This window comes from Homo sapiens, chromosome 20 (genome assembly GCF_000001405.40).
Source record: "Homo sapiens chromosome 20, GRCh38.p14 Primary Assembly".
Classification (NCBI taxonomy): Eukaryota; Metazoa; Chordata; class Mammalia; order Primates; family Hominidae; genus Homo; species Homo sapiens.
In genome coordinates this window covers 60,201,273-60,229,026 of record NC_000020.11, presented here as the reverse complement: position 1 = coordinate 60,229,026, position 27,754 = coordinate 60,201,273, and the positions used below count along the sequence as shown (strand labels likewise).

Genomic DNA, 27,754 nt, shown 5'->3' with positions numbered 1-27,754 from the left:
ACACCACTGTACTCCAGCCTGGGCAACAGAGCGAGACTCCATCTCAAAAAAAAAAAAAAAAAAGTTTAAATGCCTTCATGTTGCTTGGGGGAGGATAAAAATGATAAAAATGTTCATTAGCTCTATAATTCATTAAATCAAGTGTGCATGTTATAAATTTCAAGTTGGCCATAAAAATAATTGTAATAAAATGTGGACTTTTCATACCAATACAGAGAAATCAGGGAATAAATGAACTTTGAATAATTATTCAGTCTGTAATGGAAGACTAAAAAGAGGAGAAAAAATATTTTTAAAAAGACAATAAATAAAAACCACAAAATAACATAGTAGAACTAAACTCAGTAATCACAGTAGATATAAATTGGTAAAATACTAAAGTTAGAAGACAGAAATTTTGAGATAGAATCTATCCACCTAAATGCAGTTAAAATCAGAGCTGTAATGTCACCAAAAAAGAGGAAGATGAGAAGATGAAAAGCAGAAACATGCCAGAAATTCGGCAGACACGTTGGGGCAAGCCCAGAAAGAGCTTACCCAACAGCCTGATCTTGTCACCAAAGCCACAGACAGCCTGTCCTGTGAGGAAGTCCCCAGCATGCTCAGAAATGCAAGGATTATCTCTGAGTACCTGAGTTTTGAAGTTCTCTGGTTCCAGTGAGCTCCAGGAACCCTGTGAAAAGGACCAGTCAAGCTACTCTCATAACACAGCCCAAGACACCTGAGCCACCGACACAGAAAAGACCTGTCCCTGGTGCCAGTGAAGACACATACAAAAGTTCATCAAACTGAGCATTTTCCGAAATAAAACCTTATTAAACAAACAAAATGGCAGGTAAACAAATGTCCTAATGTGGTGTGTCTAGGAGAGAGAGTTCAGTGGTTGAGTGTTGGTCTCGGGGTTTTCAGGGAAGTTGACGAGCAGCTCCTGTAATCCACATAGGTAAGTTACATGAAGAATGATTAAGACAGTTTTGGAGAAAAATGTACAAGGGAGTACTGACCACTCGGTTATCGGCTATTAAGTCTATATGAAATTAAACATGCATTTTTGTCCTGGGGATAAAAAAATTAGGACCTTGGAACAGGGTAGCACAGAAATTGATATCTGGAACCCTGATATGGAATAGAAGTAGCCTTGAAAACTGTGGTGAATACATGGATCGTTCAATACCTGATGCTGGGGCAGTAAGCTAGTCATAGGGAAACAATTACATTAAATCCATACCTTATGTACAAACTCCAGATGAATTTTAAGGCAAAAATACTAGAAGGAAAACTAAGACTCTTAGGACAATGATAATCGTCTAACTTTTCTTGAGTGAATGTCAGGCGCCAGGCACTTTTAAGGACTTGACATAGGTTAACTCTGTTAACCTGCCAAACAACTTAACAAAGCAGGTACCTTTATTACCCCCATTTTATAAACCAAGAAATCTCAGTCCAGAGAGAGATCTTTCCCCAAGTCACAGAGCTACTCAGTATGAGTGCTTACCAGTGTATTACTAAGGTATAACATGGGGGAGTGTCTCCACAGTGTTGCAGTAGATATGTACTTCTTAAGACATCCAAAGTATATAAGACACCAATAAAGAAAGGGGCCAGACACAGTGGCTCACACCTGTAATCCCAGCACTTTGGGAGCCCAAGGCAGGAGGACTGCTTGAGCCCAGGAGTTCGAGACCAGCCTGGGCAACACAGCCAGACCCCATTTCTACCAAAAGAAAAAAAAAAATTAGCTGGACACGATGGTCATGCCTGTAGTCCCAGCTACTCAGGAGGCTAAGGCCGGAGGATTGCTTGAGCCCTTATGATTGAAGCTGCCATAAGCTGTGATCATACCACTGCAACCAGCCTGGACAACAGAGTGAGACCCTGTTTCAAAAAAAAGAAAATATTGACAACTTTAACTATTTTAAACAGTAAATTTTTCTTTGACAAGAGACACTATAAACCACATTAAATGATAAATTCCAGTCTGACAAAACAATGTCTTTGCAAGGCATGTAACTGGCAAGGAAATCTTATCTAGAGTTTATAAAGTAGTCCTATAAAATAATAAAAGAAATCCATTCAAACCGATAAAAAAAATTGACAAATTGTAGAAGAGGAAATGGGAGGAGCAAATGGAAAATATGTTCAACTTCTTGAGTAATAAAGGAAACGCAAATGAAAACAGTAGGATAGAATTCCCACACATTCAGATTGGCAAAATGTGTAATCTGCCAGTATTCTGCCGGGAAGGCCGTGCTGGGGTTGTGAACCGGAAGAGCCCCTTTGGAGAAGAGTGGGTGCCCCCACAGCCGCACGTCTCACAGAAGCCTCTGGGAGTTTGCAAGCAGTCTGCTTCCTGTCCCATCTCTGTGTACACAATTTCCTCACATTTTGTCATCACAAAACCCTATTTCTTCCCGTGTCTGTAGGTGCCATTCAAAGCCCCACGAAAATTCTTACACAGAACACAATGAGCCATTAAATAGAATATTGAAGATGAACATTTAACCACATGGAAAAGCATTCACCATATATTGTTAAAGGAAAAGGGTTCGAAAACATTTTGTATAATAAAGTCCAACTTTTAAGTAAAGAGATGTATCAGCAAAGAGAGAATATGCAAAAACTATACACTAAATATTCTTTCTGTTTACAGTCGTCTCCTGGTATCCAAGGGGATTGGTTCCAGGACCTTCTGCAGACGAACTAGCATAATATTTGCATATAACCTATGCACATCCTCCCATACAGCTTAAATCATCTCTAAATTACTTATAATACCTAATCCAATGTAAATGCTATGTGAATGATTGTTACATTTTATTGCTTTTTATTTGTATCATTTTTAATTGTTATATTTGCTACTTTTTTCTAATATATTTGATCTGAGGGTGATGGAATCCTCAATGCAGTATCTGTGGATTACAGAGGGCTGACTGTACTTCTATATGTTTATTTCTAATTTGTTTTATATGTACTTTTTTTCTTTTTCTTTCTTTTCTTTTTATATGATCTCCTTTCAAAAATTTAAATCTTTGGGATGATATAAACAGTGTAACTTTTATAATTAAAGTGAATTTTAATAAACACTTATACCATATACATACACACACATACGTATATATGTATGTTTTGTTTTGCTTCCCTATTCTAGGCTCTGTGTTAAGTGCTTTAACTGCCTGAACTCCAGGCCCACTTCCCAGGCGCAAAGACTGAGGCTGAGCAACATTAGATAGCTTGCCCTCGGCCCAGCAGCCAGGACTCAGAGTGGGCCTGGCTGACACTGACACCCTTGTCCTCCTCCATCATACTGTTTAGCCAAAGACCCAGCTGAACCCCCAAGCCTAGGCCTTCTCCCCCAGGAAATGCAAAGACACAGGTGGTTCTCCAGGCTGCCCCACTCCCCCTCGCACCTCCACACACAGGTACTACCTCATGTTCCCAAAGGATAAAACCTCAGGTTTGCAATGAAGCTAAATATGTCTCATGTCATGGTGGAAGAATTCCCAGATCCTCCTTCCTTTCAGCAGACAGAATATCTCGAGGGAAGACCTCTGCCTAGACTAACTATCAGCAGAAAAGGCCACGCCATGGTTATAATGTGGGGAGACCGTAATGTTAACTGGGGGTCATTTGCCGTGAGCCCGACAGACGCTCTATAGGCCTCCCCTACTAGGAGGCCAATGAACTGAGAGTCGGGCCTGCCTGAGCTTCTGTGTTCATTTCCTAGAGGTGCCTTCACAAAATACCATCAACTGGGCATCTTAAAACAACAGAAATATATTCTCTCCCAGTTCTGGAGGCCAGAATTCCAAAATCAAGATGTCAGCCAGGTTGGTTCCTCCTGGGGCTCTGAGGGTGAGTCCTCCCCTGCCTCTCATCTGCCCTCTGGTGGTCCTTGGGGGCAAGTGATGCTGATGGTTACATCTCCCAAGTCCCATGGCCAGGTTTGGTCTCCATCGGCCAGGCCAGTCACTTAACTGAAGCTTACAACAGATCCTTCATAGGATAAAATAAGATGATATCTTAGTCCAAATAAACAACACAAAATTTATTTCTTGGATGAACATGGTGACTTACGCCTATAATCCCAGAATTTTGGGAGGCCGAAAAGGGAGGACCGCTTGAGCCTGAGAGGTTGAGGCTGCAGTGAACTATGATTGTGTCACTGCACTCCAGGCTGAGTGACAGACAGAGTCCCCGTCTCAAAAAATAATAATAATAAAACAAAACAAAATAAAATAAAATATGCATTTCTCACAGTTGTGGGGGCTGGAAGTCCAAGACTCAGATGCCACACATTCAATGTCTAGTGAGGTCCGGCTTCCTGGTTCCTAGACGGCTGTCTTCTTGCTATGCTCTCAAGTGGTAGAAGGGCTGAAGAGTCTCTCCAGGGCCTTTTTAAAATAAAGTCACTAATCCCAATTACATTAGAGATTAGGATTCAAAATATAAATTTGGGGAGATCACGTTCAGGCCATAGAAGATGACTTTGTGAATTGCTTTCCACAGCGTCTGACACAAAATAGGTGTTCCATCATGATTTCCTGCCATCAGCTGCAGCAGCAGCATTTTGTCATACCTGGGTACAGCCGCCGTGTCTGGTTGTGACAATGGGACACCTTGGGTTTGCATCTGGCCCAGCTCAAACATTCCAATGCACTCAAACATTCTCTAGCACTCAGTTCAACTCAGCAAATGTGTACTGGGTGCCCGCACACCCAGCACTCTGCTAGCGCTGAAGTTACTGAGACAATGAGGCCCTGACCTCAAGGAGGAGATGGAGAAACAGAGACACAGCTGTTCAAAGGGATGGAGGCTGGAATCCCAGGCTACCTTTCACCAGCATGACTGACTTGGTCAAGTTCCTGAAACCTCTCTAAACCTCAGTTTCCATATGTGTAAGCAGAATGTATAGGACAACTCCTACTTGTTGGGGAGGCTGGCAGGGCCCAACAAGGCAGCACTTTCAAAACTCTCGATAAAGAGTAACCGCTTAATAAATGTTAGTGATTATCATCATGGGCAAAGCAGGAGAGGAGAATGGGGTGGACGGGAGTTGTGGAAGGAGAGGTGTTGGGGATGGTTTTGCCAAGGCAAGCTCTGCAAAAGAGGTAGAAAGTGAAGCCAGGCATTCTGGGGGGCAGACCCCCTGGGAAGGCGGTGAGGGACACACGTTCTAGGCACTCCTGACTAATGTGAGGGGCCATCACATAGTGGGGAATATAATATATGGGAGAACAGAGATGTTTCCAGAGGCAGAACAGGCCCTAAGCCCAAGCTGAGGTTTTCCTTCTGGTTTCAGGGAAAAAGAACTTCAGGTTCGACCCTCTCTGGGACTTTCTAGACATGAGATTCTCTGAAAGGACATTTCCATTCCTGTTCCTGAAGTCTTATCTCCAGAAAAAAAAAGAAAAGAAAAAACTGTACTAGGGCTGTTAGGACTGGTGGTTCTTTATTCTCTGAAAGTAATACAAATTTGAATATTACTTTAGCATTTACAAAAACTATCTATGACCCTGAGATCGCACCACTGCACTCCAGTCTGGGCAACAGAACGAGACTCTGTCTCAAAAACTTAAATTAAATTAAATTTAAATTAAAAAGTGGGTATAAATACGACTGCAGAACTGCCCTGGCCTGCTACTCTCAGCACACCGCCTATGGGGTGGCCTGTTCTGTGGGAGCAGTCACGGGGCTGTAACACTGCCATCTCAATAAAGCATTTTCTTCTACCACCAGCTTACCCTCAAATTCTTTCCTGGGTGAAGCAAAGAACCCTTTTGGTCTAAGCCCCAATTTGGGGCTCCCCTGCCCTGTATCAATGTAATTTTTAGGAAGCTCCATTTTTTCATCTACAAAACATGGATGATAAAGACAGTATCTACCGCATGGGGTTAAATTGAATATTATATATGAGACTATAAGCACACTGCCCAGCACAGAGTAGGTTATCAGGAAGTGGTGGTTATAATAATAATAGTGTATGTTATGGTTATTATATTTCTGCTTCTAAGAGATCTTAAATCCATGCACATTCTCTCCATGCCATCAGCTTAGTCTAGGCCACCATTATTTCCAGGCTCTGGCACCACCTCCAAATGGCCCCTCACTTCCACTCTTCTCCTCTAATACATTCTCTATATCACAGCAAGAAGAATGAGCCTATCACATAAATTAGGTTGCTTTTCCTGTTGCTGAAATCCCTGCAATGGTTTTTCCATTATTTCTCCAAAATCCCTCCCTCTGGGCTGCACAGTCTGTGCCCCGGCCCATGATCCTTTCAGAGCACTGAGCCACAATCAACTTCCTTTACTCCCTGGAAAATCCTACTCATGCCCTGCCCCAGGGCCTTTGCACAGGCCACTCCCACTCCTTGGAGCTTGCTCCCGGGTGTTCACTATCTTGGAACAATTGCCTCCTCCTCATCCTTTCCAAGCTTCTCAGAGATGCCTTCTTTGTAACAACCACCTAAAGCATCACTCATCACACACAACAGTAAAAGTATTCTGTGTAGGTAGTCATTCTCTTTTGTGCTGTTTCTCCCATTAGACTGGAGAGAGAAGTAAAGGAGAGAGCAGTGTTCGTGTTCTTGCCCGCTGGGTCTCCAGTCCATAGCTCATGGTTGTCTTTGTTATAAAGAAGGAAAGCAGGGAGGGAAGAAGGGAACACCGTCTGTGTTGCAGTTGGGAGCTGCAGGTAGAAGGGAGACGTGGGCAATTCACAGCCAGTGGCCTGACTGCTCTCAGTGAATTTTTCTTTGCCTGCTATAATTGACTGAGCTTTTATCTCAATCCCCCAGTCTTCCTAGAGAAGAACACTTAAGCTGTCACCTATGGACCTATTCAGTTTAATCCACCAAATTTTTAGTCAAATGTGAATTTTTTTTTTTTATCTTACTCACTAGTCACGTTTGGGCAAATCATCTTACATTGCTTTACTCTCTAGCTCCTTCTCCCTGTCTGGGGGTGAACTGGCAGAGGAGGGTGGTGATCCATCAGCCCCCTGCCCCTCCGGTCTCTGCATGTGTCTGCAGGTGCTAGACTCCATCTCTCTGGCTGGTGGGCATTCCTTGGCAAGGCATCTGCCTGTGGTCCCTGCCACGGCCTCCCTGCATCCTCCTCACCAGTCTTGAAAAGGTCCTGGCCCCTGATCTCTTAGTCTTTCACTTCCTACCCCACCCACAAGCCTTGGAGATACTCCCTAATGTACTTGCAGCTTGGCACTGGCCATAGGGAACTGGGAGCCCTCTTCACGTTCTCTGTGGGATCACAGCAGCCCCACAAGGTTCTAGAGTTTGACAGCAGGAGCAGGACACCGGCCCCTCTCCTTCCACAATTCCCTTCAACCTTCTTGAGTAGGTACCTAACCCTAGCCTCCTTCTCTTCCTCTCTGCTCTTCCACATCTTCCCTGCACTCCCAGTCAGGGGCAAATGCTATGTTTTGCATAACTTCCTGCTTTGGACCTCCTTGTAGCTTTTTGCAATGCACAAATCCTTTGTTTAATTTTTGTATCTTATATAAAACCTAGTTGTTCCAAATCATAAATGTTCGTTTTTACCTGTGCCTTTCTGTGGCTTACAAACCTCAAAGAAGATATTGCCAGTTTTCCAAAGTGGTTGCACTGATTTCCACTCCCACCATCAGCATACAGAACTTCTGGTTGCTCCATGTCCTTTTCAACTTGTCCTTCTTTATAGCCACTGATGGAGATGCAGTAGTATGGCCTGGTTTTGATGTGTATTTCCTAGATGACTAAAGTGGTTAAGCACCACCATTCCATGTTTATTGGACAACTGAGCATCTTCTTTCGCGATGTGACCGTTCAACTCTTTTACTGATTTTTCTATAGGGTTTTCAGTCTTTTTCTTATTAATTTCCAGAAGTATCTGGCAGCCCCTAAAACTGAATATGTACATGCCCTGTGACCTGTCAACTCCACTCTTCAGTATATACTCAACAGAAATGCATTCACATATTCATGAAAAGACATGCACACAAATGTTCTCAGCAGTGCAATTTATAATCCCCAGCCTGTAGATGCCCCGAAGGCCCCTCCCCAGTGGCATGGAAGATTCAGTGGCCGCACAGTCAGATAATGAATACCATCCACGCTGAGAGTGAATGGGCTGCAAGTGCACAGAGCATGAATGAATCTCACGAACGTAATGTACAGTGAAAGAAGCCAGGCACATAAATAGCACATACAGGATGACTCCATTGTATCAAGTTCAACAAACCAGACAAAACTAATCTACGGTTCCAAAGTCAGGATAGTGGCTAACTAGGGGGAAGAGGAGAAGAAGGAGAGGGCGTGGCTCCCGTCCTGCAGCTTGGCTTAGGTGCTGGCTACATCCACATGGATTGCTCACTTTGTGAAAAGTCGTTGAGATGTAAACTTTTGACGTGCACTTTTCTGCATGTGAGTTATACGTGAACAAAACATATAAAACTGTAAAGTTGAGTAAACATATAAAACTGTAAAGTTTGTCCCAGGCTTTCAGAAGGAACGTGCACATAGGGTGGGGAGCCACTCCAGAGCCACTGGGAGTAATTAGGAGCCATAAGAAGTGGAAACGCACAGTGTGAACACTCTGAATCATCTCCTCCATATGCATCACCAAAGCACGTCAGCCACAGCGAGGAGGTCATCAACCGCAGGTCATTTTTCCCTCTCCTTCCAGGGGCATTTGGCAATGTTGAAGACATTTTCGGTTATCCCAACTGGGGGTTGCTACTAGCATCTAGTGGGTAGTAGTGGTTAGGAGTGTTGCTAAACATCTTAATTGGCACAGGACAGCCCCTCTCAACAAAGAGTCATCCTTCCCAAGTCGTCAGTAGTGCTGAGTTGGGAAACCCTTATCTGGTCCAGCATTCGTGTTTTACTGATGGGGAAACTGGCCAGAGATGGATGCCCAAGATCCTGTGACCAAGGAGCTGCAGCCACCATGCCTGAGCCAGCGTTCCTGGCCTGTGTCCCTGACCTCCCTGGTGCAGGAGTTTCTTGTTGGCCCTGTTACCTGGACCCAATCTTCAGACTTAAGGTGTCCAAATGATAAGCTGTAAAACACTGCGTCCCATCGACTCCCCTGGGAAATCAGGGACATCCTGCCTAATTAAAAAATAGGACAATGACATTTTTAAGAGCGTAGAAGTGCCCTGTTTTGTTGTTATTGCTTTAGATTTCATAGGGAACTTGTAAGGAAAATATTATCAGCCAGAAAACATCACAAGAAACTCTTGGTGTTAATGCACTGTGCCAGGCTGACACGGTTACATAAAATACTCAAGAAGTGGAACATTTCATGGGTGGTATGGACAGGTCCAGAGTCATTTTTATTCATCATATAGTTATGTTTTCCAAGGGCAGGAAAGGGAGGGGAATACCTTTCTTTGAAGCTATTTACCATCTTTCACCTAGAAGATCATGTTTTGAAGCTGTGAAGCCTAAACACATCATTACAAAGTTTCAGCAAGCTGCTTTCTGAAAATAGTTGTCATAGTACTGGTTAATCTGTACATTCAAATAGAATGAAGCCTCCAATGTGGACTATTTTTATCCAAGCCGTCATGGCAGATGGATTCATATGCCAGCCAGACATGTTCCGAGTCGCAATGAAGTTCCAACCTGTTGTTTTCCCCAGACTTCTGCCTCCCCAGCTTGAAACATCGGCACTTAAGTGTATGCAGCAATCTCCCAATATTAACATGTATATCAAACCCAAACAATTGGCTGAGCCTTTCATGCATGCCAGGCTATATGCTGGGCACTGGGTTTGGGGAGGAAGACAGTGAGATACAAAGAAGCTGGTGCACCCAGGCTCCAAACTCTCAACAATCTTGAAGACCGAGGAGTAAAAACACACACATACACCGGTGGAACAGGGCAGAGAACACAGAAATAACTCCATGCGCTCAGAGCTAAGTGGCCTTTCAAAAAGGTACTGAGAACACCCACTGGGGAAAGAACAGTCTCTTTAATACACGGTACCAGAAAAACTGGCTAGTCACATGCAGCATGAAATTGGACCCCTATCTGTCACCCTATACAAAAATCACCCAAAATGGATTAAAGATTTAGGTGTTGTAAGACCCAAAACCATAGACTACTAGAAGAAAACATCCACGAAATGCTTGATGACATTGGCCTGAGCAAGGATTTTTTTGGATTAGAGCTCACAGCACAGGAAACAAAACCAAAGGCAGGCAAATGGGATTACATCCAACTAAAAAGCTCTGTACAACAAAAGAAACGATCAACAGAATGGAGAGACAGCCTATGCATGTGAGAAAATATTTGCAAACTATGTATCTGATAAGAAGCTAATATCCAAAATATCTAATAAGGAAGTCAACTCAATAGCAAAAAAAAAAAAAAAAGTCCAATTTAAAATGGACAAAAATTCTGAATAGACATTTCTCAAAAGAAGACATTCAAATGTCCAACTGGCATATTAAAAAATGTTCAGCATCATCATTATGAGGTATAATGTTCAACATGGGTTTGTTGTTGTTGTTGTTTGTTCATTTGTTTGTTTTTTGAGACAGAGTCTAGTTCTATTGCCAAGACTGGAGTACAGTGGTGCAACCTCGGTTCACTGCAGCCTCTGCCTCCCAGGTTCAAGCGATCCTCCCACCTCAGCCTCCCCAGTAGCTGGGACTACAGGTGCACACCACAATACCTGGCTAATTTTTGTATTTTTAGTAGAGATGGCATTTTACCATGTTGCCCAGGCTGGTCTCAAACTCCTGGCTTCAAGTGATCTGCCCGCCTTGACCTCCCAGAGTGCTGAGGTTACAGGCATGAGCCACCACTCCCAGCCTCAACATGTTTTATAGGTTGTTAAACTGGGGATCAGAAAGGGATAGAAATCTTCCTGAGGCCACCCAGCCCATCAGAAGCAGAGCCAGGGCTGGAACCCAAGTCTCCCACATCCCTAGTTCAGTGCCCATATATTAGGTTCCTTTTAGCTGGAAATAACAGAAAACATGACCAACCTCAATAAAAAAGGGTTCCTCTTTTACCTACAGGACAAGAAGTCTGGGAAGGTGGCTGGTGCATCATTTGAGGGGTCTAATGCTACCACGGCTGAGGTGTTCACAATTTCCCTTGGACTTTTCTTCATGAGTGCAAAATGGCTGCCAAAGCTCCAGACACCATGGAGGAGTTAAAGATAAGAGGGAAATGGAAAGGAATCCATCTAAATACAGTTGGCCCTTCGTGTCTGTGGGTTCCACATCCCTGGATTCAACCAACTGCAGATCAAAAATATTTGAGAAAATAATCGTGTCTGTACTGAACAGGTACAGACTTTTTTCTTGTCATTGTTCCCTAAACAATGTATTATAACAACTATTCCCATAGCACTTCCATTGTATTAGACATTATAAGTAGCCTAGAGATGATTTAAAGCAGACAGGAGGATATGCACAGGTTATGTGCAAAACTACGCCGTTTTATATCAGGGACTTGAGCATCCACAGACTTCGGTGCTTGCAGGGAGTCCTGGAGCCAATCACCCCTGGATATCATTTTTCTCCCCAAAGCCAAAGCTTTTCCTGCAGCCTCCCAGAACACTTGTGTGTAGATATGGCCACTCCTAGGAGTCTGAGAAAGTGGGTGTTTCACTTTCCACCCTCCGAAGAGGAGACAGAAAAGGGAGAAAGGAGTTAGAAACAGATATAGGATTAGCCAACCTGAAGCATCTGCCTCCATTTCCCTTCCACAACTCACATCAGTCGGGCAAACACAAACCTGTGGCCCACCACATGCTGGGATGGTGCTGATTAGCAGCCCCCCAGGTTGTCCTTCTCACTCTACAGCAGATGTTCCAAAATCTAGTGGATCATATACAACACTTAGGAAACATCATGAAGGCATGTATTTCCAGATCCCACTTGAAAAGTATGAGATCAGAAGACTAGAAACAGGGTCCAGGAATCTGTATTCAGATGGAGATGGACTCTTTTGTCATTTAAGAAATAAAATACAGTAACGCCTGCAATCTTAGCACTTTGGGAGGCCAAGGTGGATGGATCACCTGAGGTCAGGAGTTCTAGACCAGCCTGGCCAACATCGCGAAACTTCCTCTCTACTAAAAATACAAAAATTAGCCAGGCATGGTGGCATGTGCCTATAATCCCAGCTACTCGAGAGGCTGAGGCAGGAGAATCACTTGAAACCAGGAGGTTGCAGTGAGCCAAGATTGTACCATTACACTCCAGCCTGGGCGACAAGAGCAAAAATCCATCTCAAAAAAAAAAAACAAAAAAAAAAACGGTAAAATTCAAACAATATATAAAGTTGTCCCCCCAATCCCAGTACCCAAACATTTATTTCTTTTCTAAAGGCCCTTTTTGTAGCAAGTTCCCTGTGGATCCTTCGAGAAATATTTTGAGCACATACAAGCATGTGTGTAAATCTCTCCAGTATTTTACACAAATAGAAGCTGACTGCACATTACAGAGCACTGTGCTTCCTCACTATGTATCTTGGAAACTGTTCCACATCAGCACGTGGACATCTATTTCCTTTTTCATCATGGCTGCATAGCAGAAAATTTGTCTCTTGTAAAAGTTCCCCAAGCAGTTGTGAGAGCAGGCTAGGTGTGGGGTTGACGGGCTGGTTGGTGCTGCTAGCGGGTTGAACAGCCCTTGATTAAAACAGCAAGGGCAGCATCCAGCATGAGCCGAGCCCTGGGATGCCTGCCAGCACCATGTTAAGCTCACGGCACAGATGCCTTTATGTGACCCTTTCCATAACCTCAGAAGGTGGGATTATTCTTCTATCCCACTTTACACATGAGACATTGCAGCACAGGGAAATTAAGTAACTTACCCAAAGTCACACAGCAATACTGTCACAGACAAGGCTGCACTCTGATGACTTGGACTCAGAATCATGCACTCACTCTGGTCAGCATGGTGTGCAGCCCCACCCAGCAGTTCTGCGGGATGGCAAATTATCTGGAGCACAGGAAGAAAGACCAGGGTCTGGCCTAGGATCCTCCCGACCTGTCGTGCTGCGAGATCTACCACAGAGTTAAGTGACTGCATCTGGCTGAGCCGTGAAGCAGGGAAATGTACCAGTCAACTGGAGCAGGGAGCAAGCCAGGGTGCAGCTCCATCCTTCTCTCCCTGCATCATCTGCCACCTCCCTGCTCCTCCTCCCAGCAGCCTCCCCTTAGCAGCTACAAAATCTGGCACCCATGATCCAGCTGTCAGTGTGCTATGTGCAAAATCGGAGGCTTTTGCATGGATGCCTGGGATGAGAATTTATGTAAGGGCTCAGAAAGAGCAATGCCTCAAAACTCACACAAAAAAACCCCCAGCATTTGATGTCTCTTCCAGGGCCAGGGATGATGACATGACACTCACCTCCCAGTATGCCCTAGAGTCTGGCACAGTCGGTGCTCAGTGAATATATGTGGTATTGATTTAATTCCTGAAGAAGCTGCACGACCCCTGAATGTACCTGAAAACCATGGCTGCAGTGATGGAGTTAAATTCATCATCTGATTCTTTCTGAAATTACACTCGGACTGCTCTGCAAAGCACCACGCGAGGCACTAGGACAGATGAAAAGCATATGGCCCTTGTTTCAAAAACCTTCCTGTCTTGTAAAGGAGACAGATGTGCACAGCATTAAGTACATGATAAGGCAGAATGTGGTAAATACTACAGCAAATAGACAGAGGGGGCGTGAGAGCTGAACTGGTGTGAATTTGATGAACATCTGTTTCCCACACGACTCATTGGGCTGCAGGGTCCCCCAGTGCCCAGACTTGTCTGTGCTCCTCGCTGCTCCGTCCTCGGGTTCAGCACTTGTGGACCAGATCCCTGACCAAGGAAAGCTGGCTGACAGCCACTCGCAGAGTGAACGAAGTACGATGGCTTTGGGTGGTTTTCTGAGCTACTTTCCATGCTGCATTTTATTGGATCCTCAGAAGCTGACTTCTGAAAAAGCAGTGGATATAGCAGCTCCTCTCACAACTTGAGCCTCAGCCTCTGTGTCTATAAAATGGGAATAATCCTACTGCCTTCCCTGCGGGTTTGTTGTAAGTATGAATGGGGCTAACCCATTGAAAATGCTTACCAAGGGTGTTGTAAGTATGAACGGGGCTAATCCATCGAAAATGCTTACCAAGAGGAGAAAGAGTGCATGTTGGTAAATGAATGGGAGCCAAGAGTGACTTGGTCTCCTTCACTTTGCACACGAGCGAGTCAAGGCTTGAAGGGGTGGATCCATTTCTCCACCTGTTGATGAACTTATTAAGTTCTCAAACCTATGCCTGGGCATCCCCATCTCGCTGGAACCCTGAGATTGATTCTCATCATCCAAGACACTAAGGGTAGACACGCAGGGGAATCCATGACTGTGTCCAGCACAAAGTAGGAGCTTTGTAAGTATGTGCAAACTGAAGCAAAGCTAATTCAGAAGCGACCTGGATGTTAATTTCTTTTCCTTAACTGAATCCTGCTATCTTTGTATTTTAATTCCTTGGCCTTACTCTTTCAGGAAAGTTGAGCAGGTAAAAGAATTCATTTATACAGTTAAATAAGAACTCCATTTACTCGTGCTCTCCTCGGCTGATTTTAAAGGCAGATATAAAGGATGTAGATTTCCAAAACTCAACTCTCATTTTTGAATATTGATTATGTGCCAGCTACTGGGAATTTGCAATTTCTAAAACCCTCCGTGCTTTCAGGAACCCACAGTAAACGGCAGGCAGGGAAAGATGGGGGAGGAGTATGTTCACGATTGCAGGGCATGAAGTGAAGGCCCAGAGAGATATCCAAGGGTTTATAGCAGCAACTGGGGATAACACGGCTCGTGGGGTCTGTTAAAACCTCAAAGGATTGACTTCTGCAGAGAAGAGTCTTGAAGGACAATTAAGAGTTTGCAAAGTGACCCAAAGAGGGTAAAATATCCTATGAAATGAAAGGGACATTCAAAACTCAGGCTCCCAAAACCATATAGTATGCTCAAGTGACCACAAGTTGCCAGAGAGAGAGATTGATGGTAAACACACCCCTGCTTACCCGTCCTGTGCCCTGGAGGCATTACTAATCAATCATGGCCCTAGGCTCCAGGAAGCTCTGACCTGGCCTTCGAATCCTTCTATGGAGCTCCAGGCAGCTCCCACCACAAGAGCTGGACCATGAGATTCAGAGAGGAAGTGACATCCAGGCTGCAGAGTTAGGATAAGGGGAAGCCATCACTGCCTTTCCAGCAGGGCGTGTTCAGCTTCCATCACTGCTTTAGAAAGGCCCTGGTATTCATGGACAGGATGGATTGGGGGAGGGTAGCAGCAGGTGGCAGAGGTAGTTGGGGGCAGGTAGGGCAGGCAGAGAGTGAGTCCTAGGAGTCACATGGTCCTGATGACAGCTGGAAGGGAAGAGGCACTCGGGGGAGGAGGCTGAGACCAGTAGACATTCCACAGGTAGAAAGGAAGGGACTTGGGGTGGGTGGAGATGGGAAGGGCAGATGGCAAGAAAGCTGTTAACTAAGGTAGCCACCTTGGGGGAGAAGGGGGTTAGAACCTCTGTCTTTGGCCTGGGATCCACAGTCAGAGGCATAGCAGCATGGCTGAGTCGAGGAGGCTGGGCTTGGGCGTCTGAAACGCCTGGGTGGGAATCCAGACGCCCTAGATTAAGCGCTGCCTGGAGCATGTCACTTAAGCTTACAGGACACAGGAAGCAGGAGTGGAATTAGCGACACCTACGAGCACAGGCTCCACATTCGGCTCCTGAGTTCGAACACTGGCCTGGTTCTGTGACCTCCTCAAAGCTGTCCAGCATCCCCAGGGTTGAGCACAGGATGGAGCCCTTCCTGCCAGCAGGAGAAACCCACGTGAGGCCTCCCACGCACCCCATGCCACATGGCACATGACCGTGAAATGATGCCTGCGATATGAATCCCTCCCTCTCCACCCCACTTGCTTTCTCACTAAGCTTCCACCAAGTTCTTGTTACCTGGGTCCTCCCCGGCCCATTCCTTCCTGCTTTGCTGACCTGCCTCCCAAGCCTTGAGTTTGCTTCTGGCCAACATTAAACACTGGCAGGAGGCCCTTTGCCTTGACCTCTTGGCTCCCAGATACCACTTAGCTCTTGACCTCTGGCCATGACCCCAAGGCCTTTGCTCCCTGACCGCTGCCCAAGATCCTTCACTAGGGCCAGGCTCCTGTGTCCAGCCCAGGACCACTGCCACTCAGGTTCTAGCATAATGCTACCAGGTCACCCCTTCAAGTTCCCACCTTTGCCATAATCACTGTGCACTAAACGTGGCCTGGGACATATGGCAGTGCCTGTTCAGAACCCCCAGCCACAGTCCCTTCTTCTGCAAACACCCAGATCTCCCCGCCATCCCCCCCAAACCCTTTAAAATCTGTTTGGTTTTCTTACAATTTATGCTCAAGACACACAGAAATATCCACCATCGCTTTTTCACGGTACCTAAAGAGCTTGCTTTGCTTATGTGTACACTAAAGCTACAGTGACAACAAAACAATTCTATGTCAGTGGAACAAGCAACTCACACAAAGAAGCACGTCAGCTTTTAATAATGCCAAGAAAAAAGCCCTCCGCTGCTGTGCCCACCAGTCTTCCTATATCTGATGCCCATTTAGGGACGCCTGGAAGAACGGCAGCCTGTCTGCTGTCTGGGAAAGCATTCTCTGGCTGGGTTGTGTTACTCCTAAATTATTCATAATCTTGACTGAGATTCATCAAGGTCACCACCTCCTGGAACCTTTGCGCCGAGAGGAGCATGCGGGTGCCTTCCAGGCCTAAAAAGATGCAGGAGATGCAAGTCTCTGAGTGCAAAGGCCTCTGCTAAGCCCTCCGCACCTGCTTCTGGCCTCCTCCGCAGAGGAAGCCAGGCTCATCTTTACTCCGAATCAGAGACCTGCAACACGGCCTGTGCTCATTTCAAACGGGCAGAGAGGACAGTCTTACCACTTACATTTAAAACCTAACTCCAAGCATGTTCTGAACCTGGTAGTTACAGTCCGGGAAGCCTGATTGTCAACAGCTCACACTTTATTCCTGATTTCTGCCTGGGTAGAAAGGCACTCCAGGTCCTTACCAGCTCGAGTCTGTCACTTGAACACATGAGACATACTGAACACACTCGGGGACACACACCTAGAAGGCCCCAGCGTGGGTGCGCACAGGGATGAGGCTCTCCTGCCCAGGAGACACCCACTGCTCTCCCAACACAGTGAGTCTAGTCTCCCAGCCCCATCACCACTGGGCAGAAGCCCTGGAACCAAACACTGGGGGTCTGGAGCCCAGAGGCAGGGCCATCCGGAGCCGCTCATGCTGCAAGGCTGCTGTGGAATTCTCCATTCTCCATGTGTTTCCTTTGGATCAAGAGGTTTTTGTTTTTGTTTTTAGAAGAAGAAATAGAATGAAAAACAAAATACTGAGCTAAAATCTAAATTATTTCTTCTCCTGAAACACACTCACTATGCACATTGATGGAAGTTCTCAAAGACTTATGTTCAAAGGGTGGATTTCTAAGGATTTCAAAAAAGACGGTCAAATAGAATCTTTTCTTTCTTCCTTCTGAAGAAGAGTGGATCACAAAGTTATCTGAGTTGTACAGCCAGGAAGGTGAAGAAACATAGATTTGGGTCGTCTCGGCATAAACATAAAAATGCGGCAGCCCGCTTGCGTGCTGCTTAATTTCTTTTTGTCTTAGAATTACCACTCTGCCCCTCGGCCTGAGTGACAGGCGCGAGGCAACAGCGCCATCTGTAGGAGAAACTTCACAGCCCAGGCAGGACGCTCAACCCTGTGGTTCAGCCCCGTCCGACACTTTCAGGATTCAGAAGCTCCGATACCAGCACCCCTTCCCCAGCACACACACACACACACCCATCCCTGGATGAGCTGAATGCCCAACTCGGTCATCTAAAGAATAAATGGGCCAGGCACAGTGGCTGACATCTGTAATCCCAGCACTTTGGGAGGCCGAGGTGGGAGGGTTACTTAAGTCCAGGAGTTTGAGACCAGCCTGAGCAACATAGTGAGACACCGTGTCTACCGAAAATAAAAATTAGCCTGGCACGGTGGCGTGGCATGGACCTGTAGTTGTAGCTACTGGGGAGGCCAAGGTGGGAGGATCGCTTGAACCTGGGAGTTCCAGGCGGCAGTGACCTGTGATCACGCCACTGCACGCCAGCCTGGGCAACAGAGTGAGACCTCGTCTTTAAAAAAATAAAAATAATAAATAATAAATGGTTACTATTATGTTGGAGGAAGAGTTAGTAAGATCTATCACTTTTTTAATTGGCCATTTCCTCTAATCTAGCAATTATTCCAATTCTAGAGGTTTATCTTGCATAAATATTAGCTTGTATGCAGAGATAAAAATCCAAGGGATACTCACTGCAGTGTTCGTTTAGTAGTGAAATATAAAAGCAATGTAAACATTGTTAATAGGACTGGTAAAATAAATTAAGGCCCTCTAGGGCACAGAAGCCTGTGTGAAATTTACCATGAACCAATTTGCCATGAACCAGGAGTTATGCACGTAAGGAGACTGGACTGTTTGCCATAGTAAAATTTCCAGTTACAAAAGCAGCTTTGCCAAAATCATGTAGAATGTGGTCTTTCTGTAAAGATGTGTGTTCTACACACACACACACGCACACACACATAATATCTGGAAGAATGTGTTCTACACTGTGATGTTACAAACAGTGGCTATCTTGGGGGTGGGAGGAAAAGGAGGAAATTCACTTTCTACTTTGTACATGTTTGCATTATTTGAATTGTGTTGCAAACATGTACTAATTTTGGATTTACTCTCACGGTGCTTGAGGACATACTCGAGTCATCCTCAGAGTATCTCTGGAAGGCAAGCTTTTTGGGTCCTTGCATCTCTGCAGGGTTCCATTTTGCTCTCTAACCTGAATGTGATTTCGGCTCAACACAAGATCCTACGTGCAAGCCAGCTTCCCTCAGAACTGCCAAGTCCCACATCATCTCCTAACATCTGACACTGGCAGTGAGAAGTCTAATGCCGATCTGAACTGTGTTTCTTTGCAAGAAACCTCATTTTTCTTTCTGGGAGCTTTTGATATTCTACTCGGCCTTGGTTTTCTGAAAATTCAGCACAATGTGTCCAGCGCAGGCCTTTCTTATTTCTCCTGCTCCCAATGCAGTGGGTACCTTCAATATGATGACACGTGTCTTTTTGTAACTCTGGAAAATTTTCACTGATTTTTTCTTTTCAATTCCTTCTCCACATTGCCTCTTTTCTTCCTTCCCAGAATTCTTTAACTAGATGTCCATCGTGGAGATTCATTCTCTATGCCTCTTATCTATCTTACATTCTCTCATCTATCTTACACATAGAATGTTGGTGCATTCTAGAAGAATCCCTTAAGCTTTAGCTATATCCATTCTGCTACTCAGCCCATGCATGGAGCTTAATACAGCATTTCAATAATCCCATTTTTAACTTCTTAGATCTCTGGTGGATTCATTTACATCATAGATGATGCTTTACATACTTGAATCTCTCCAAAGTACCTAAAGTTGCTCCATTTTCTTCAGTTTGCTGGGTTATTCCCATTCGTTACATTTTGGTTCTTCAGTTGGATGCATTTGGAGTCATGCACCCCACTGTTGATTTCTCTCAAGTGTCTGCTGATGTGTGATGATTTGCTTATCTTTATGTGTTAAACGCCCTGGTTTCCTGCCTGGTCCATTTATTGATGCCTGCTTTCTGAGATTGTGGGCAGGGGCAGGGCCAGCTGCTGCTGGCTGACAGATCTTGTTTTCTGGGTGTGGGAGCCACCCTGGCTCTCTGGAGGTCACTGACTCACTGGCTTTGTGACCTGGAGCCCTCACTACCCGCTTTGGCCTCAGGCAAATATCACTCCTACTTGACACTGTGGAGAGATGGAAAGAGCCTCCTCCCCGAATGAAGACCCTCAGGTAACCTGCTTGGCAAAGCCCCTGAACCCCACCTCCACCCTCCCGCCTGCCAGGTCTTCAGCTCTGGACTCTTTCCTGCCCTTCCCGGACCTTTGCCTGTGTTTGCTCTGGCTTCGTTTCTCTGAGTGGCTGATTTTATTTGCCTTTTAACTTTCAAGACCTCCTGGTCTACTGTTGTCACTTTATCTCGTTTGGATTATAATTTGCACTGTCGTTTTGCTCTTCCCATATGATTTGGGATGGGATTTAACATGTAAGAAAAATAAATACTATTTCTGTGGTTACATGACTTCCCCAGTGTAGAGAGGGCCAGGAAATGTACGAAGTCATCAATACTGATGCCAAAGTGTGGTGTCGGAGGTCACCATCCCCAAAATGGATTAAACAGCACAGACGGCCCATTCCATGGAGTTAATCAGCTTAATTGTGTTTCTTGGCATTACTGAATTTGGGGAAATAAGTTACTCTAAGTAACTTCAAATGTTAAACGTCAGATCACCAACATCTCATATTAAATTTGGAAATAACCCTTCACTAATCAAGAGAAACATGTACTCAAAACGGAACAATTGATATTTTCCTCTTCTATTCTCTTCTTCTCCTCCACCAATAAATTTTAATAAGGAACATGTAACTCCTAAGTTTGTAAAACTAGATAAACAAAGTGCTTAAAAATCTAAATTTTTTTGTTTTGTTTTTGTTATTACAACCCAAGATACTCTTCACATTAAGGTTAGAGGTTGGGTTTGGTTACCATCCCAGAGTTCCGCGTGGGAAGTCTTTCAGATTTCTTCTTTAATTCTTCTTTCGCATTTGGTTTTCTTCAAACAGGATGAGAGAAGCACACAGAAAGAAGGCATTCACTTAATTTTACAGACTATTTTTCCTGGGTCCTAGCTTAGAGAGGAGCATCTTGACCCATACGTCCTCTTTAGCATCTTTTGTGTGTGGGGAGGACTCAGCTGCCGAGATGCTGGCAAAGGTGTGGATGCCATTTGCTCCTCATGTGCTCATTTGTGCGTAATGACAGGAGTACACTGGGCAATGAGTTTGATGAGAAATTGAAAAGGCAAAAGGTGAACGGCCCACATAGCCCTTCTAATGTAGGCGTTGAAAGAGTGTAATTTCCTGGAAAGCAACTTCAATGTCAGATTGAAATGCCGGTTTCAACGTGCTCTTCATGCACTGACTCCCTAAGCCTGGAAGAAATGCCCTCTCAGGGGTGCCGTCCCACACAGAGAGCAAGTGGGCCTCCCTGTTTCCACTCTCTGCCCTCCCCAGTCATTTTCACCAACAGGCAGAAGGATCCTTTCAAAATAGAAACCAGATCCTCTCACTCCCAGCACAAAACCTGGCAAGGGCCTGCCATTGCCCTCAACCAGAAACCCAAAGTTCTCACATAGCTGATGATATGGTTTGGATCTGTGTCCCCACCCAAACCTCATATCGAACTGTAATCCCCAGCTGGGGCCTAGTTGGAAGTGACTGGATAATGGGGGCTAATCTCCCCCTTGGTGCCGGTCTGATCATGAGTGAGATCCCCTGATATCTGGCTGTTTAAAAGTGTGCAGCACCTCCCCCACCCCCTTGGTCCTGCTCCTGTCCTGTAAGACGCCTGCTCCCACTTTGCCTTCCGCCGTGATTGGAAGCTCCCTGAGACCTCCTCAGAAGCAGATGCTGCCATGCTTCCTCTACAGCCTGTGGAGCCATAGGCAATGAAACCTCTCTTCTTATAAATTACCCAGTCTCGGCCAGGCATGGTGGCTCAAGCCTGTAATCCCAGCACTTTGGGAGGCCAGGAGGGAGGATCACGAGGTCAGGAGATCGAGACCATCCTGGCTAACATGGTGAAACCCCTTCTCTACTAAAAATACAAAAAATTAGCCGGGCATGGTAGTGGGTGCCTGTAGTCCCAGCTACTCAGAAGTCTGAGGCAGGATAATTGCTTGAACCCGGGAGGCAGAGGTTGCAGTGAGCTGAGATTGTGCCACTGCACTCTAGCCTGGGTGACAGAGTGAGACTCCGTCTCAAAACAAACAAACATATTACTCAGTCTCAGGTATTTTTCTTTCTTTCCTTCTTTTTTTTTTTTTTTTTTTTTTTTTTGAGACAGGGTCTCCCTCTGTCACCCAGGCTGGAGTGCAATGGTGCGATCTCAGCTTACTGTAACCTCCATCTCCTGGGTTCAAGTGATTCTCCTGCCTCAGCTCCCCACCCCACCAGTAGCTGGGATCACAGGCATGCACCACCATGCCCAGCTAATTTTTGTATTTTTTAGTAGAAATGGGGTTTCACCATGTTGGCCAGGCTAGTCTCGAACTCCTGACCTCAGGTGATCCTCCTGTCTCAGCCTACCAAAGTGCTGGGATTACAGGCGTGAGCCACCGTGCCTGGCCTCAGGTATTTCTTTATAGCAATATGAGGACTGACTGATACAGCTGGGGAGCCCCTCTGTGATCCAGCCAGCTTCCCCCTAATCACCCTCCCTCACAGGGCTGCAGCCACAAGGCTTCCAGCCGCTCTAGGATTCTGCCAAACCTTTGCACTTGCTGTGCCTCCAGCTAGGAATGTTTTCCTTCCAGCTTCCCCCACCATGGCTTCCTCAGTCAGTGGAGGTTTCTGCTTCAATGCCTCCCTGCAGGAGCCTTCCCCAGCCACCCAGTGATGACAGGAGCTCAGGGAGACTCTCCATCGCCCTCTTCTGTTCTGTGTCCTCTTAGGACTTTCTTACTCTCTGACATCATAGATTCACATGCTTGCTTTCTGTCTCCCACATTAGAACATAAGTTGCACGAGAACAAGGGCTGTGTTTTGTTCTCTACATAGTCCCCGCATCTAGAACCCAGCCTAGCAATCAGGAGGGGCTCAGTAGGTATTAGTGGGTAACCAAATGCTTCTGGATTTTAAAATAAAATTTAAAAAGGACTGTGCCTCATAACTGTACAGATAAATTCAATTTCCAAAGGATTCATTTGACATAAAAGTATGACAAAAGGGTTCCTCAAAAAGTTAAACATCCAATAACCATACGACACAGCAATTCCGCTCCTAGGGATATAACCATGAAAATTAAAAGCAGGGACTCAAACAGGCACCTGAATACCCATATTCATGGCTGCATTATTCACGGTAATCAAGAGGTGGAAACAACCCAAATGCTCTTCAATAGATAGAAAGACCAACAAAATATGACATAGCCACACAATGGAATATTATTCAACTCTAAAAATGAATGAAATGCAGATACATGCTGCAACATGCATGAGCCTTGGAGATATTATAAGTGGAATAAGACAGACACAAAAAGACAAATATTGTATGATTCCTCTTATGTAAGGTAACTAAAATTGGCAAATTCACAGAGACAGAAGCGAGAATAGAGATAATCAGTGGCTGAGGAGAGGGAGAAAATGGGGGTTATTGTTTAGTGGGTACAGAACCTCTGTTTAGGATGATAAGGAAGTTCTGGAAGTGGGTAGCGATTATGTTTTCACAGCATTGTAAATGTACTTAATGCAATATACACACACACATACATATATACACATATATTCATATACACACACATATATATTCATATACACGTATATATTCTCAAAAGAAAATGGTAAAGCACTTACTCTATTTGCTTTGATTTTATGAAATTAGATGAAGTTATCCTGAGATTTTTTTTTATTAGATGAATCGGCACTAGTAAGTCTTTACCATCTGTTTAACTTAAAATTCTAACAAAAATTCTTGATTTAACATTCCTTATTGGTTTTATAAAGATGAGTCCTGATAATTATGTACATAAGCCAGTGATGTCTGATTTTATTATGCAAACAAGAGAAAATACGTCAGATGCTTTCTTATTTTTCCCAGTGTCATTTGTAAATATTACTCAAAGTTTTTACCCACATTATTACTTCTGTTCCCTCAGGATTTAAAAAAAAAAACACTTCTACAAACGTTTGTCAAAATTGGGAGCACTTTAACAAACAGCTCTCAAATGTAGTACCTTCTAACATGTCATTAAATATTCTCCTTTGAATATCATTTAGACCTTTTCAGTTACATTGGGAAATTCTCTAATATATTTCCATAAATTATAATGAATAATGTCCTGTTAAACTTCTGGGGGTTTCAGCTCATGTGTGATGTGAGTAATTCAAGTTCAGTTCTGCGTTCTCCCTGATGTCCCCAGTTCCTCACACCAGCCATACCCATCAGGGACAGAGCCAGCTCCACCAGGCATTTCAAAGGATTCCAAGCTCCGTGTTTGAGTGGTCATTGTGGGTGGAAAGGCGGTGGGGGAGGAAGGCTTGAAAGCCTGGTTTACTGTGGCTGAGGGTCTGGGTCACCTTTGTAAAACTCCTCAGAGCAATTACAAAAGCATTTGCATCCATAGGTCCTCAATAAATACCATTTGAATGAATACCCCAGGGTTTTGCAGAGGCTGTTACTCCATCGTGAATGGTGGGAGACAGATTTTAGTACAAGGACAAACACTTGTTTAATTGCCGTGCATTTTTTAAAAATTAAGACAAATTAAGACATTCGTTTTTCACTGATAATAAAAATATGAAGTGTCTTTTAAAAATACATACCTTTAAATTTTAAATGTTTATATTTAAAAGAATGAATTGACTTGCAGTGTAGGATTTGAAAACCATCCATAGGGTGGTACATAAATAACTGAACTGGCTGGGCGTGGTGGCTCATACCTGTAATCCCAGCACTTTGGGAGGCCAAGGCGGGAGGATCACTTGAGCCCAGGAGTTCCAGGTTAGCCTGGGTGACATGGTGAAATCCCATCTCTACAAAAAATACAAAAATTAGCCAGGCATGGTGGTGTGAGACTGTGTGTAGTCCCAGCTACTGGGGAGGTGGAGGCAGCAGGATCACTTGAACCTGGGTGGTGGAGGCTGCAGTGAGCCGTGATCACGCCACTGCACTCCAGCCTGGGTGACAGTGAGACTCTGCCTCAAAAAAAAAAAAGACTGAATTGAGGGCAACACTAAACTAGTAAATGTTCATTGTTAGCCATCAGAACCTAGAAGCTGGGAGGACAGAGCAGAGGGCACGGCCCACTGTGTACAGGAGCCTCACAGGCCCCCGAGGCTGGCTTTGGGGTGTTGGAAGAAGTAGAGCTTGGAGCCCACAGCTGGGGGACACCCGAACACAAAGGAGCCCTGCAGCCTCCTGCCTGTTGTCAGGACCCAAAGGAGAAATGTAGTTTGCAGGATCCCACAGCATGATGAAGCCACGAGCTGATGAGTGGGCTGGGGCAGGGGCAGTGGCTGAATATCTGCTGCAGACTGGCCGGGCTCACCCACCCTTTGTGTGAAACGGCCCGAGGCTGCCTTGCTTCCCCTCCCCTGCTACCTTTTGCCCACACTAGACATCACTCCCACCTAAATTCTGAACTCCTCTGTCCTTCCAGCTCTCCTGCAAATTCCTTTCATAGTTGGGGTGGGACTCATCAGGCCATCCCTGCCCAGGCTTGCTGCATCTACACCTTCTTGCCCACAGAGGTCCAGGCTCCCTGGCCTTGGAGGGCCTTCTATGGTGGGAGGTTGCCAGGCCTAGGAAGCTACAGGCCTCGAGTCAAACGTCTTGCTCAAGCCAGTAGGAGTTGACAAAATTTAAAACTAGAGCTCATAGACCTGCCACAAATAAATGGCAAGTTTTTTATGATCAAGATTCCATTCTAGCCTGCATCCTAGGAGGATTTGGCATCCCTGATCTCTGGTTCTCTCTAGACTCCGATTAACACCACCGGCTGTCCATCTTCCCAGCTGTCGGGACTTAGCAAAGGTACTAGTCCTTGCTGTGCTTCACTTTTCACATCTGTAAAATGGGCTTAATCATGATATCTATGTGGTGTTTGCTTTGTAATGATTAAATGAGATCATCCAGGAGCAGTGATCAGCACTGTGCTAGATCAGAGCAGATGCTCACTACATGTCAGCCATCAGAAAAGAAAATAGAACAGGCCTCCCCATGTTCCCTGTCTAACAATGAGAAAGACATTGGATGAATCCCAACTGAAGGATATTCTACAAAAACCCTGACCGGACCCTCCTCAAAACTGTCAAGGTTATCAAAAACAAAGACAGTCAGAGAAACTGTCACAGCCAAGAGGTTCTCAAGGAGACATGATGACTAGCTGTCATGTGGGGTCCTGGATGGGCACCTGCAAGAGAAAAGGGACATCACAGAGGAAAAAATAAGGAACTCCACATGAGGTTTGGACCTTAGTTAATGAGAATGCATCAATATTGATTAATTATAACAAATATGTCATACTGATGTAGGTTGTCAATAATGGGGACAGTTGAGCTTTCTGTGGTGTATTAGTAGTTTTTCTATAAATCTAAACTATTCTGAAATAAAAAGTTTATCAAAAAACGAAAAAGATTGGAACAAAAATGTAAGCCTCTCTCCCAAAGACACACAGCTGGCATAAAGAAAGCTATGGTTTAGGACCCACTTTTTAGTGACCTGGGAGCCTGCACGCCATCCATTCGGGGCTGCACCTAGTGTTATTATTTAAGACAATTACAGACTGAAAGAGGAAAGCTGGAAAATGCAATGCTCCCAGTAGGGCTTTAGGTCTGCAGTCACCTAAGTGGAACCACAGTGGTGAAGAAGGGTTGTGGATGGGAAATAGCAGCCCACAGGTAAAGGCAGAGTTTAAAGGACCAAATCTGCTTGTCCACAGATCACGTAAGAACAATACCCTGAGGGTGTCCAGAGCAGCCATGTCCCTCCCTCCTGCAGCCACAGCCCTTGCTTTGGAGAGACTCTAGGGCAAGTCAGGCTTGTCAGGACGGAGTTATCTGCCCAGAACAACTGTGAGAGTTGGCAGGCAGCTTCTGCGACTGGTGCCATCCTCTCCTTTGTCAGGACAACCCAGGGGCCTGTGGGGGAGCTGCCTATAACACAGGAGCCCTTCCTCTGCCCAGCAGTGCCGGCAGACATCAGGACGGGGAGCAAGGCTGGATCATTCTGGGTTTTCAGTGTTGGGTTGCAGCAGATCTTGTGGGAACCTTGCCTAACTCTGCCCAAACGCTGTGGCGCCTCATCTCTCCAAGGAGCCCATGTGTCAAATCATTTGATTTTCAAACCAGTCAGGTGGAAGGGAGTCAGCCACTGTACCGATCTCCAGTAGTTTGCAATTTTGCCTTACAGATGACAGTTTGCTATCTTCTGCTTTCTTGAACAATTATTTCATTTAACATATTTAACAAAGTTTCATTGAGCACCAACCTCAGGGGAATTCCAATTGAATAGGCAGTAGGGAGAATTTCCTCTTGAGCCTCACTTGGATCACCGATTAATTTTCCATTTCTCAGCCTTAATGTGAAAGACACCTCTTCACTGCCCAGCAAGCATTCCCCTTCTTCCAGGTGTGCTGTCATCATTTTGTTTGGGGACCTCACCCCTTCCCTACTCTCAGACCATGTGGTAAGGATGGTGCAGACCCACAGGCTAGTTCTAAGAATAGTTTTCACATCTAATCATGGGAATGAGTGCAGAGATGGTCACATAACCTAATGCAATTAAATGAAGCCATCCTCTAATTGTTTGCTGGATCTGTGCTTTCTCTGGTGAGGGTGCTGAGCTGGGAGGCTGTGTGCCTGGAGCTGCTGAAGGCCACCTTTTGTCATTGCATGGAGAGAGACTGCTGAGTATAAGGCATCTTAGAAAATGAAACCAACATAGTGAGTGAGAAATGGAACAGAGTGAGTCCTTATGTCACCTGGGGCCCCTGGATCTGCCATGCCTGCAGCCAATTAATTCCCCTCTTCCTTTTCTAATCCAG

The 27,754-nt window shown here is 45.1% G+C and overlaps 1 long non-coding RNA gene across 1 annotated transcript in view, besides 2 other annotated features; it reads right to left on the bottom strand.

Annotated features, from left to right (window-relative positions):
• The window catches only part of MIR646HG (MIR646 host gene), a 183,765-nt gene that overhangs the window by 93,230 nt on the left and 62,781 nt on the right, over positions 1-27,754 (bottom strand). The window lies entirely within an intron of this gene.
• Positions 15,276-15,776: an enhancer, noted in NCBI's record as "H3K4me1 hESC enhancer chr20:58788309-58788809 (GRCh37/hg19 assembly coordinates)". NCBI's record gives its function as "activates a minimal SCP1, AML or CMV promoter by ChIP-STARR-seq in primed H9 embryonic stem cells {active_cell/tissue: H9 hESC(primed)}" and the evidence as "EXISTENCE:reporter gene assay evidence [ECO:0000049][PMID:30033119]".
• Positions 17,648-17,887: a silencer, noted in NCBI's record as "fragment chr20:58786198-58786437 (GRCh37/hg19 assembly coordinates)". NCBI's record gives its function as "represses an EF-1alpha promoter that drives an FKBP-Casp9 reporter gene in an ReSE screen in HepG2 liver carcinoma cells {active_cell/tissue: HepG2}" and the evidence as "EXISTENCE:reporter gene assay evidence [ECO:0000049][PMID:32094911]".